This window comes from Homo sapiens, chromosome 16 (genome assembly GCF_000001405.40).
Source record: "Homo sapiens chromosome 16, GRCh38.p14 Primary Assembly".
NCBI lineage: Eukaryota > Metazoa > Chordata > Mammalia > Primates > Hominidae > Homo > Homo sapiens.
This window is the reverse complement of record NC_000016.10, coordinates 15,268,057-15,281,826: the sequence shown is the minus strand read 5'-3', so window position 1 is coordinate 15,281,826 and position 13,770 is coordinate 15,268,057.

Below are 13,770 nucleotides of genomic sequence, written 5' to 3'. Positions count from 1 at the left end.
ACTGTAATTGCACCATTGCACCTCATCCTGGGTGACAGAGTGAGACTGTCTCAAAAAAAAAAAAATTCATGACCTTGGGGAAGCCTAGTTGGATACTCTCCTTTTTCCCCAGACCAGCTGGATCTACCATCATAGGCTGTTATAGCATGCATCCAATTCTCTCTTTCTATTGCTCTTTTTTTTTTTTTTTTTTTTTTTTTTTTGTAGAGATGCAGTCTCACTATATTGCCAGGGCTGGTCTTGAATTCCTGGGCTCAAGCAATCCTCCCACCTCGGCCTCCTAAAGTGCTGGGATTACAGGTGTGAGCCACCATGCCCAGCCTGTTACCTTTCATTTTTATTTCAGTCATCATTCTGAGTGGCTGAGCATATGGATGTGTTGATTGTTGAAATAAATCATTTAGGCAAATTGTTACGGGCCCCATCTAAATTCAGAATCCAGCCCTGGATCTGGTCTGTAATTCTTCCCAGCCACAATCTTCCCTGTTGGAGTCCGAGTTCTCCACTCTAGACCTGCAGCGGGAAGCTTTCCAGGGACCAGCCAGTTCCACCGCCTCCAGAGCCACCCCTCACCTGCTGACCTCTTCCTATGTTAGCTGCCCCTCTCGCTGCCTGCTGCCCTTCCCCGGGCCAGCTGATACGAGAGCTGGCGATAACTTGAAATGCTCCCCGCAGAAGATAAATGAGAGGGGAATCTCAGCAGGCATTGAGCTCTGTACCTAACGACTGGCAGTTGGGGCTTCTAATTTTAGGCCTGGGGAGGAAGCTGATTTCTGTGATGAAGGTGGCCACACGCTTTATCAAGGGCCAATTTAGCAAAAATCTAAAATGTATATGAAGCCGTGGTAAGTCTGGATTTTCTTGGTATTTATGCTGGGAGGTTACTTATGAGCGTTTGCTGTGTGACCACATTGCGGTATTAATCATAGGTGGCATTATAATTCTCTAAAATAACAGCCATAAGGCATCAGGGCAATTGAGGCTTGTATTAAGGGAATGGTCCTTTTTTTTCTTGCTGAAGTTAGGCAGCATGAGGCTGGTGTGTTTTTCCTTAAGGCACCAAGGCATCTGAGGGTTTGCACTGGGAATCCCTGGGCTCTCTGGGCCCTCTGGGTCCCTAGGGTCTTCTACTTGCCAACACAGCCTTGGGTTCTCTGCTTCCTGTTGGGGTGACAGGAACACATTGGTGGTCTCTGATGGATATACCAGGCGCTCTGCATAATTTTTCTTCTTGCTTCCGGGGGTAACTCCAGCCCCATCCCTTGAAGGTGAATTTTATGTTATATATATATTTTTTTGCTTAGGCAAGTTTGATTTGGGTTATATTTTCATCATAAAGAATCATGACTATTGCAAATCATTATATAGAAAAGTGATTTTATTCTTGAGCCTGAGATATTCACAGTGAAAATGACAACACATTATTTCTGAGACACCTGCTGGGGGCATCCACCACTTTCCCCCAACCCATTCTCTCTATTCACCTCCAACCAATTTTATCCAAAAGCCAGCTCAGCTGACTGTACAACCACAAGGGATTTGGAGTTAGATGGATATGGCATTTATCAGCTGAATGATCTTGGGCATAATACTCAAACCTTCTGTGCCTCTGTTTTCTCATCTTTAAACGGGGATAGCACAGGGTTGGTGTGAGGAATAAATGAGTTATTATTGTCATAGTAATATACTAATATATAGTTAAATATAATTCTATCTGTCAGATGTAGACAGGGGTGGAGAATGCCTTGGAAGTCATTTCTTCCTACAGAATAAGTGATATGGTTTTGCTGTGTCCCCACCCAAATCTCATCTTGAATTCTAGCTCCCATAATTCCCATGTGTCATGGGAGGGACCCAGTGGGAGATAATTGAATCATGGGGGCAGTTCCCCCATACTGTTCTCATGGTAGTAAATAAGTCTGATAAGAGCTGATGGTTTTATAAGGGGTTTCCCCTTCTGCTTGGCTCTCATTCTCTCTTGCCTGCTGCCATGTAAGATGTGCCTTTTGTCTTCCGCTATGACTGTAAGGCTTCCCCAGCCATGTGGAACTGTGAATCCATTAAACCTATTTTTCCTTATAAATTACTCAGTCTGGGGTGTGGGGGTATGTCTTTATCAGCGTGTGAAAATGGTACCATAAGGAAGTACCTTAAGGTTAGACAATAAGTACAATAAGGAAGGAGGACCGCAATCCAGTCTTGTCTCCCAGAGCCTTGGCACAGAAAGATGGTAACCAATGCTTTGTCTTGGACAATCCCTCCTACCTGCTGGGGAGACAAAGGAGCAAATCCAGCAGAAGATGGAGGGGAAGTGCTGGTTGAGTTGCTTGGCACCCCTTGCCTTTTTTCACCCTCTTCCTCAGCTCCCTGATCACCATATTCTCCCTGTGTCTTTTGGCTCCTGAGATCAGTTGTTGATGAAATGCTGGGCTGGGCTCACTCCCAGAGTGGGAGGAAATGGATGTGGGAACCCTCTTGGGGAGATGGGCAGTTACCGGGGCCCAGAGAACCAATGAGGGCTTTATCCTGCAGTCAGAGTTCAACACCAGCCCTTCCCAGAATCAATCACACCCTCCTTTCCACTATTTCACTGTCTGCCGTGAACTAACAGACATTGGTTGTGTTGCCCTCAGATTCATAGGCTGAAGTCTAACCCCCAATGTGATGGTATCAGGAGGTGAGGCCTTTGGAAAGTAATGAGATCATGAGGGTGGAGCCCTCATGAATAGGATTAGTGCCCTTGTAAGAAGAGATATGAGAGAGATGATACCCGTCTCTCCACCACATGAGGACACAGTGAGAAGGCAGCCATCTGCAAGCCAGGAGAGAGTCCTCACCAGACCCTGACCATGCCAGCACCCTGATCTCAGACTTCCCAGCCCCCAGAACTGTGAGAAATAAATTGCTGTTGTTTAAGCTTCACAGTCTATTATAATTTGTTATAGCAGCTCAAGCTAACTAAGACACTACCCTGACACTCTATTTCAGAAATGACAAGGTTTGGGCAGGGTGTGGTGGCTCATTCCTGTAATCCCAGCACTTTGGGAGGCCAAGGTGGGTGGATCACCTGAGGCCAGGAGTTCAAGACCAGCCTGGCCAACATGGTGAAACCCTGTCTTTACTAAAAATATAAAAATTAGCAAGATGTGGTGGTGCACACCTGTAATCCCAGTACTCTGGAGGTTGAGGCAGGAGAATCACTTGAACCTTGGAGACGGAAGTTGCAGTGAGCCGAGATCATACCACTTGTACTCCAGCCTGGGTGACAGAGTGAGACTGTCTCAAAAAAAAAAAAAAAAAAAAAAAAAAAGATGAGATTTGACTTCACAAACTAAAACTTTTGTTCAGAGAGAAGAGGAAAATGGAGGGTGGGGGAAACCACCCATGCTCCCAAAGATATGAGACGTAGAATTGATCTAAGTGCCACAAAGCAGAATTTTTCTGACTCCATTCTGTTTCTCCTGTGATAATTCAGCTGCTTTCAAATTCCTCTCCTCTCAGACGGTCCTGAGAATCCAGTGGGAGTTTTCTCTGTGCTCCAGAACATAGTGGCCTCTTGCATTCATTCCCTACCAGAAATAATGTCTCATTCACCAGCTATTTTCTCAGCCAATAATTTTTGTCCACCCCCATTCCTCCTTCGGAAACTTGCCCTTCCCAGAGCCCTAGGAGATCCAGAACCCCATAGGATTCTTTTGGCTCTGGCCATGGCTGTGTACCAAGGGGTTGGATATGGGATTACAGCCAGGCCATGTGGACTCTCTCCCAGAAATTTGGAGTTGAAAATCTCTGAGCTTATCTCTGGAAGGTGCTTGAAACTAGAGGGGGATAGAAAGTTGGTGACAATATAGTCATGTTTGGCCTGTGGACAATTGCAATAGAAAAAACTGATATGCAGGGTGATATGGTTTGGCTGTGTCCCCACCTAAATCTCAAACTGTAGCTCCCATAATTTCCACATGTCATCGGAGGGACATGGTGGGAGGTAATTGAATCATGGGGCGGGTTTTTCCCATGCTGTTCTCGTGATAGTGAATAGGTCTCATGAGATCTGATGGCTTTAAAAAGGGGAGTTCCCCTGCACACACTCTCTTGCCTGCCACCATGTAAGACGTGACTTTGCTCCTCATTCGTCTTCTGCCATAATTGTGAGATCTCCAAAGCCATGTGGAACTGGGAGTCCGTGACCGCTCTTTTTCTTTATAAATTACTCAGTCTTGGGTATGTCTTTATTAGCATTGTGAAAACAGACTAATACATGGGGGGGCGGAGAGACAGAGAGGGAGAGAGGGAGATGGGGAGCGAGAAGATGGGGGAGAGAGAGTGAGAGAGAGAGAGAGAGAGAAAGAAAGAAGAGATTGAGAACACAATACAGACTTAGGAAGGACAGACCGGGAGCTCCCAGAAAGACAGAGACAGGCTGTGTTGACTCCTGCTATCTTTCTATCCCAAAACCCTGCTGTGCTTTCTGACTTTGGTTTTGTGGGATGCTTTATTTAATAGGTTGAACTGTGTTCTCCAAAGAGATATGTTGAAAGCCCTAACATCTCAGTACCCCAGAATGTGACCTCTGTTGGAAACAGGGTCATTGCAGATGTAATTACGAAGATGTGATACTGGAGTAGGGTGGGCCCTTAATCTAATACGAGATTGTCCTTAGAAGAAGTAGGAAATTTGGACACAGACCCACAGGGAAGACCCCCTTGTGACAATGGGGATAGCGATTGAAGTTCCATTTTAATGTACGTGCTGCCGAAGCGAGCACAAGGTAGAGATTGAAGTGAAGCTGCTACAAGCCCAGGAATGCCTATGGTTACCAGAAGCCAGGAAAGGAAAGGATGGGATCTTCCCCAGAGGCTCGGGGTACAGCTCTGTGAACCCCTTGATTTTGGACTTCTTCCCTCAAGAATTGTGAGAGAATAAATTTCTCTTGTTTCAAGCCACCTCGTTTGTGCTGTTTTGTTAATCATCCTTAGGAAATCAATATGCCCCTTATCCTTCTTGAATGAGCTCTGTACCTTATAATGAGATTATTGCAGTCTAAAAATCTAGAACTAGTTGCAGGAACATCACAGACAAGGGAAAGTTTGAACCACACCATGGATGAGTGACAAGCTTGGAAAAGAAGGGCACTTCACCTCTGTGGTATTCTTTGCAAAAACTCATGACCTGAGTCTAATCATGAAAAAAGAAAAAAATCAGACAAACTCAAATGGAGGCTAATACGGTTTGGCTCTGTGTTCCAAATCTCATCTTGTGGCTCCCATAATTCCCACGTGTTGTGGGAGGGACCTGGTGGGAGATGATTGAATCATGGGGACAGGTTTTTCCCGTGCTGTTCTCGTGATAGTGAATTAGTCTTATGAGATCTGATGGTTTTTAAAAATGGGAATTTCCCTGCACAAGCTCTTTTTGCCTGCTGCCATCCACATCAGATGTGACTTGCTCCTCCTTGCCTTCCACCATATTTGTGAGGCCTCCACAGCCACATGGAACTGTAAGTCCAATAAACCTCTTTCTTTTGTAAATTGCCCAGTCTCAGGTATGTCTTTATCAGCAGCATGAAAATGGACTAATACAGAGATATATCCTGCAAAATCCGTCCCCAGTACTCCTGAAAACTGCCAAGCTCTGTAGAGTTGGAGTTAGAATACCTTTTGTTGTTGAAGATGTGAAGGAAGTATGCATGTGAATTGACTGCTGAATTCACTTTTGTGCCATTTTTGTAAATACAATAGTTTTGTACAACCTTAGAAAAATAAGGAAAGGCTGAAGAAGCTACACATTTGGTTTGTGTGGTTTCTAATGTAGTTTTATTTTACATTAAAAGATTTAGACAATGGGTCCTCATGGCAGTTGCTGGTGACTTACCTTGTAGTTGTAAAGCTGGGTTCTTGTTTTCTTTTTCTTTTAAATGAAATTATTATTATTATTATTATTATTATTATTATTATTATTATTATTTTGAGACAGCCTCTTGTTCTGTTACCCGGGCTGGAGTGCAGTGGTAAGTCGTAGCTCACTGCAGCCTTTAACTCCTAGATTCAAGGGATCATCCCATCTCAGCCTGCCAAGTAGCTGGGACCACAGGCAGGTGCCTTCACGCCCGGCTAATTTTTAAATTGTTGGTAGAGATGAGGTTTCTGTATGTTGCCCAGGCTGGTCTCTAACTCCTGTGCTCAATCGATCCTCCTGCCTCAGCCTCCCAAATTGCTGGGATGATAGGTGTGAGCCACTGCACCTGGCTGAGGCCTTGTTTTCTTGCTGGCTGTCAGCTGGGGACCTCTATCAGCTTCTAGAGGCCACCTGCATTCTTTGACATGGCCCTGTCACAACATGGTAGCTTACTTCCTCCTAGCCAGCAAGGGAGTCCCTAAGTCTCCTAAGGGGAAATCTTATTTGGAAACATGATCAAGAGAGTGACATTCGGCACCTTTGCCATATTCTGTTGATTAGAAGCAGGTCACAAATTCCATCCTCTCTCAGGCGGGGAGGCTTGTACAAGGGAGTCACCTTAGCTGTGTGCAATCAGGAATACAGCCCAGGGGCCGTGCCTGACAGTTAAGAGGACTCAGTGTGATCAAGCTGATCAATATGAAGTGGGTTAGGCAGCTGCCAGTGCTAAATTCTGGTTGGGAGTTTTCCAAGAACCAGCCCCACCCGTGCGTATCTCTCTGGGTAAACCTCCTGAGACTTGGGAGTCACCTTAGCTGTGAGAACCGTTTTTGGAACTTACCAGCAAAAATGACAGCCCAGGGTATTCCAGGCAGCTGCTTCTCCAGCTCCAGGCAGATGATTCTGGCCCTGCCTTGCAACAGAAATGGAATCGTTTCGAGGGGATGGTCTCCTTGCTCTGGATCCAGCAGCAGCAGATGCTCCAGCCGAAGACGTGTGTCCACTCTGAGCAAGGCTGAGAGAATCAAATTAATTTCTTTTATGACCCGAGGCAAGCTTGAAATTGGCTCTTCCAAGATGAAAAAGGAGAGGCAGGAGTGGCTTGCCTGGCTCCCTACTCTCCTTCTCCTCCTGCCTCCACCTCCTTCCCAGCAGGGCTCCAGCAATTTAATCGGGGTGGGATTCCTTCCACCAAGCAAGGCAGTCTGTCACGCGCCGCTGCAGTAGGGGCCATGCCAGAGACAGCTTTTCGAAGCAGCATCTGTGGGCAGACATTTGGGCAACCCCACTAGGCTGGCAAGCCCTGGTCGATTTTTAGTGACCTCTTAGAAGTAGATGGGAGGGACTGTCAGCCATGCCGGAAGTGGGAGAGAGCAGAAGGGGTCAAAGACAAGCCTCGGCTGGGAAGAGCATCTTTGTGGTCCTGTAATTGATGATTGGGGTGGGGAGCATTGAAACGTTTCCCTTGAATCACAGCCTTCAGTGAGAATGGCTTTGCCTTCTGTTTGGACGGTGTGTTGAGAGTAGGGTAACCATATGTCCTCATTTGCTGCAACAGTCCCTGTTACGACTGCTTTCCTGGTTTTGCCTGTCTCGAAAGCATTCTGGTTTGGGCAATAACTTATAAGGTCATCCTAATTCTGGGTTTCACAGTCTCAGCACTGTGGACATTTTGGGCTAGATAATCCTTTGGGTGAGGGTTGTCCTGTGCACTGTAAGGTGTGTAGCAGCATCCCTAGGCTCTGCCCACTAGATGCCAGTAGCACAACCCCCTGCCCCATTGTCATTGCCAAATGTCCCCTGAGGGGAGGAGGAGGAATCACCCCTGGTTGAGAACCATGGCCCTTTTTTAAGGGCACTGTTGAATCCTTCCTTCTGATACCATCTGGGGGTAACTTGAGTACTTGGTTCATGTTCTGGAAGGAAAAACTCCACATAGTGCTTCTGGGTTCATTTAGCCTATGTAAGCTTCGTTTTTCTGTTTCTTAGACCAGTATCTCACTTTTTTGGGGGAGAGGTGGGACCTCTCCTCCATTCTCAGCCCATGTGTTTTGGGTGACTCGAGAGACTGGGTTTGGCAGATGGGAGAATGCCATTCTCCTGGCTGTTGTGATTGATTCAGAAACCTGCCTTTAAGGTGGTTCAAAGAGCATCAGTGGCAGGACTTCTGTTAGGTGGATAGGGAAAGAGGGGTTCTCTTTTTGCTGGGGTTGCAAACCTGGTAGGGTGGAAACCGGGAGCTGCTGGTGGTCATCTCATCACCCTGGGGGAGAGCCTGCCTGAGAAGGAAATCACAGGAGAGCCGAGCTGAGAGAGGAGAAGGAAAGCCGATCACACTGCCTAACAGCCTGTATCCCCTCCAACCTGATGACAGATCTCACCTAGAGTGAATTTCTCAGTGAAGCCAGTTTGACTTGAGTTTCTGTCAACTTGCAACTCAAAAAGGCCATGTGTTGCCATGAGGTATTTCTCTGTTCCCTTTCCTAATCTAGAGATTAGGTAACTTTAATTCTGCTAATGCTGAGTTTTGTCTCATCAAATGGAAACATCACAGAAGTCTCTGATCTTGCCCCATCAACCCTTCCCATTACCTCTAGGGCTCAGCCAATGCTGCTGGTATCTTTTGCTTCATTTTTTCTTTTCTTTTCTTTTGTTTCTTTCTTTCTTTTTTTTTTTTCTGAGGCAGGGACTTGCTCTGTCACCCAGGCTGAAGTGCAGTGGTGTGATCACGGCTTACTGCAGCCTCAACCTCCTGGGCTCAAGTGATCCTCCCACCTCAGCCTCCTGAGCATAGGTGCACACCACCATGCCTGGCTAGTTTTTTAAATTTTGTTTGTAGAGAGGGGAGTCTTACTCAATCATTCAGGCTGGTCTCAAACTCCTGGGCTCCAGCAATCCTCCCACCTTGATCTCCCGAAGTGTTAGGATTACAGGTGTGAGCCACTGCATCTGGCTGCCTCATTTTTCTTAATCTTTCAAGACTCTGTAGAAATAATACCTACTCCTTTTCATTCCTCCTTATCTCCTGTCTTCCTTTCCAACACTATAGCCCTCTTTTCATTATTACCCACATTTACAAAAGGTCTTTGTAACTTAATGGCATACCCAGACAGAAATAATGTTCTCTGGGTTAATTATCTAGTTTGCCACAATCTCCTGTACCAGATTCTACCCAGCCTGCTCTGATTATAAAGGGGACTATTGAGAAATAGCTGCAAAAATGCACAAAACCATAAGAATTCCCATTCCAAGACCCAGAGCAGATGGCTTTTGGATTATTCCCTTCTCTTTTTCTATCATATGTTTACATAACTGAGTTCATCATCTATATGAAGTCTTACATACATATATTTTTATAAAGATATAAAATTATACAATCACCCCAATTAAAAGGCATGAACATTATTTTAATAATTGGAAGAAGATTTCATTGTACGAACATAGTGTAATTTCAAAAACATTTTTCTGTTGGTTGACACTTCATTTTTTACCATTTGCAATAATGTGATGGCTTCCTTGGGCATACATCTTTGTCCTCAACTGGATGTACTCCCCTAAAATAAATTTCTAGGAGTGGACCTTCTGGGTCAAAATGGGTGAGTATTTGTAAGGCTCTTGATACATATTGCCAAATGACCTTCCAGAAAAATTGTGCCTGTTTACATGCCTACCAGTGGCATGGAAGGGTCAGATGTCAGAATCATGATTGCAATTATTGATAAAGATCCAGCTAGTTCCAGTTTTGCCAACAATATTAACGCCACCAGCACATCCACCAATAATAATAATAACACTAATGGTATGATAAATAAAATAGGTGATATGGTTTGGCTGTGTGTCTCCACCCAAATCTCATCTTGAATTATAATCACCAGGTGTTGCGTCGAGGGAGGGAGCTGTAAGCCCCACGTGTCGAAGGAGGGATGTGATTGGCTCATGGGGGCGGCTTCTCCCATGCTGGTCTCATGATAGTGAGTGAGTTCTCATGAGATCTGATGGTTTTAAACGTGGCAGTTTTTTCCCGTGCTCTCACTTCTCCCTCCTATCGCCTTGTGAAGATGTCTGCTTCTCCTTCTGTCATGATTGTAAGTTTCCTGAGGCCTCCCCAGCCATGCAGACCTGTTGTGAGTCAATTAAACCCCTTTTCTTTATCAATTACCCATTCTTGGCCAGTTGTTTATAGCAGTGTGAGGATGGACTAATACAATAGACTTATTGGGAGCTTGTAATATTCTAGCTATGTTACTAAAAATTTCACACATTATTTCATTTAGTCCATCCAGTAACCTAGAGATTAGGTATTATTATAATTCCCCCATTTACAAAATAGGATAATAAGGTACAAAGACGTTAAGCATCTTGCCTAATGACCACAGCCAGTAAATGGTGGATCTTAGATTTGATGCCAGGCATCTGACTTCTTCAAGCATTGTTTACTGTTTTTAGTATGACAGAGATGACTAGTTGGATGTAATTCCACCTGAATGGCTAGCTTTACTGTGTACGGCTCACCAAAGATCTACCTTGAGGAAAAACATTGCTATACATTGCAAATAATAGCCAGGGCTCTGGTATTAATGTTTCCCAGTCTCTCCCTCCTAAAGACATTGTCACCCTCCCAGCCAGGTGTGTGGTAGAAGGAAACGACTCTCTCCTGATGCTATGAATTCCAAAGAATTCCCATTAACCATATTTCTAAGCCAGTTTGCTTTCTTTCAATGTGCACTTTCTGCAAAATGCCATCTGCACTTGTTTCCTGGGGAAACCATCTCTCTGAGGTGGGTAAGTTCTCATTGTGAAGATGGGGACTTCCCTAATGTTTGGCATTCCCTTTTTGGGGGCACGTACAGTGATTTCTGAACTGACTTGAAAGGCCATTAACTTGGTTTTTACTGCCTTTTCTGGCTTGCAAATTTAATGCCTGGCTCCCAACATGTGTGAATGGACAAACAGCATCAGCATCATCTGGGAACTTGCTAGAAATAAAAATTCTCAGGCTTTACCCTAGACTTACAGAACCGGCAACTCTGAGGGTAGGTTCCAGAAGTCTGTGAGTTTACAAATCTTCCAGGTGATTCTGATCCGTGCTAAACTTGGATCTACTGCTCTAAACCTTAGTTTCTTCCTTTATAAAATAATAGTAGTAGTAGCTGTAGCAGTAATAATAATATTGGCTTCATGGTTATAGGGGGAATTCCATGAGTAATTTGAGTCCTTGGCACTGTGCTTGGCATACAGTAGGTGCTTAATAAGTGGTAGTTGGCATCACTATCTCTGAACTGTGAAGGTCGCTGTGCTTAACCTATGTAGTATTTATCAGCCCCGCATCCCACTCCGTTCAGGGATGGCCCTTCTCCTGCCTGTGGGTCTGGTGGGACCACTCTGCAGAATTTCTTATGCCCAGATCTTCTATCATGGTGTGACAAAAGCATGGCCCATCACATGCTTGCCTTCTGGGAATTTGCATCTTAAGGAGAGATCATCAAGGATGTAGAGTGATTAGAGTCCAGTCATTCCACGACCCTGCAGCCTAGTGCTTCTCAACCTTTAATCTGCTTAACGCTAACTGGAGGATCTTGTTCGCGGGCAGATTCTGACTCGAAAGGTCTGGGGTGGTTCTGAGAGAGAGTCTGCATTTCTGACGAGCTCTACTGGAGATGGTGATGCCAGTACTGCTGGTTTCTGGACTCACGGTGCAGTTGCATCCCGAGAGTAGTGAATCTCATTTTTCAACCTCATCTTAGAATCACCTAGGGGAGGTGTGAAACAAGACAGACCTGAGCCAGTTAAATCTCAGTTTCTTTCCTTTTTGCCTTGCCTTGCTCTGCCTTGCCCTGCCTTGCCCTGCCAGGGTCTCACTCTGTCATCTAGGCTGGAGTGCAGTGGTACAATCTCGGCTCACTGCAATCTCCACCTCCTGGGCTCAAGCTATCCTTTTGCATCAGTCTCCTGAGTAGCTGGGACTACAGGCATGCGCCACCACATCCAGCTAATTTTTGTATTTTTAGTAGAGACGAGGTTTCGCCATGTTTCCCAGGCTGGTCTTGAACTCCCGGGCTCAAGTGATCTGCCTGCCTTGGCCTCCCACACTGTTGGAATTACAGGCATAAGCCACCGTGCCCGGCTTAAATCTCAATTTCTGAGGGTGAGGGCCCAGCATCAGTGGTTTCTAAAAGTCTCTTTGGTTGACTGTTGGCTGCAGTGAGGGTTGAGATCCACCACCATACAAAGATGGTCCAACTGGAACCCCCTCAAGTCTGGGAACTCTATTCTTTCTCTGATCCTATAAGCTCCCCGCTTTTTAATGTAAAGATTTGGTTCTGTTGGCTGGGCATGGTGGCTCACGCCTGTAATCCCAGCACTTTGGGAGGCCAAGGTGGGCAGATCACGAGGTCAGGAGTTTGAGACCAGCCTGGCCAATATGGTGAAACTCTGTCTCTACTAAAAATACAAAAATTAGCTGGGCATGGTGGCGTGTGCCTGTACTCCCAGCTACTCAGGAGGCTGAGGGAGAAGAATCGCTTGAACCCAAGAGGCAGAGCTTGCAGTGAGCCGAGATCATGCACTACTCTCCAGCCTGGGCGACAGAGTGAGACTTTGTCTCAAAAAAAAAAAAAAAAAAAAAAAAAAAGATTTGGTTCTGTTGCTTGCAAACTAAGAACCTTAACTGATAGAGCCTCAGAAATGAGAAGAGAGTCAAGGTGAGTGTTCATTGCCTCTGGGCTCTCCAGCTGCAGATCCTCTTGCTTCTCTGTGCTTCTCTTTGGGATGACACCACAGAGACATTAAACCTTTTGGAGGGCCCGTACAGTAATTTCTGAACCAACTTGAAAAGCCATAAACTTGGTTTTTCCTGCCTTTTCTGGCTTGCAAATTTAATGCCTGGCTCCCAACATGTGTGAATGGACAAATAAAAGAGGAACTGTCCCTTCCTCTCTTTGCCCCCATCAAGGGCCACCTGAGAGACTGTATCTCTTTAGGATCGCTTAGCTCTTTCCTCAGTCCCAGGTCTGGATTTTGCGGGTGACAGCTTCACCAGTATGTGACAAGCCATGCCAGGTGACCAGAGTGTGAACCAGCCTGCTCACCTGTCAGGTGGTGGTAATGAAAACCGATGGACCTGGTGCGGTGGCTCAACACCTGTAATCCTAACACTTTGGGAGTCTGAGGTGGGAGGATCACGAGGTCAGGAGTTCAAGACCAGCCTGGCCAATGTGGTGAGGGCCTGAAGTAGTGGGAACAGAGCGTGACTGAGGCAGAGTCAGCCTTAAAAGATCAGTCGCTAAAAAGGACTTCAACTGCCTGCCTTTGGGGAGAGGGATTTGATGGGAGAAGGGCTGGGGTAAGACAGCTTTGTTTTCCATTTCAAGTCATTTGTATCATTTGCTTGTACTGCTTTGATAAAGAGAAATCTGAAATTCTAGAAAAAATTAGAAGTGAAAAAAAATTCCTTTATAGCCATGAGCAGAACCGTTAACAATAGCAGCCGGGTATGGTGGCTCACGCCTGTAATCTCAGCACTTTGGGAGGCCGAGGTGGGTGGATCACCTGAGGTCAGGAGTTCAAGGCCAGCCTGGCCAACATGGCAAAACCCCGTCTCTACTAAAAATACAAAAATTGCCAGGCGTGGTGGTGGGTGCCTGTAATGCCAGCTACTCAGGAGACTGAGTATGGAGAAACACTTGAATCCAGGAGGCGGAGGTTGCAGTGAGCCGAGAGTGCTCCATTGTACTCCAGCCTGGGTGACAGGAGTGAAACTCTATCTCTAAACAAACAAACAAAAAGCAATAGCAATAGCAATAGCAATGATACTAACTTATATTGATGTGCTAGATTTTATCCATGTCACCTCATTCACCTTTAGTTCTCACTACA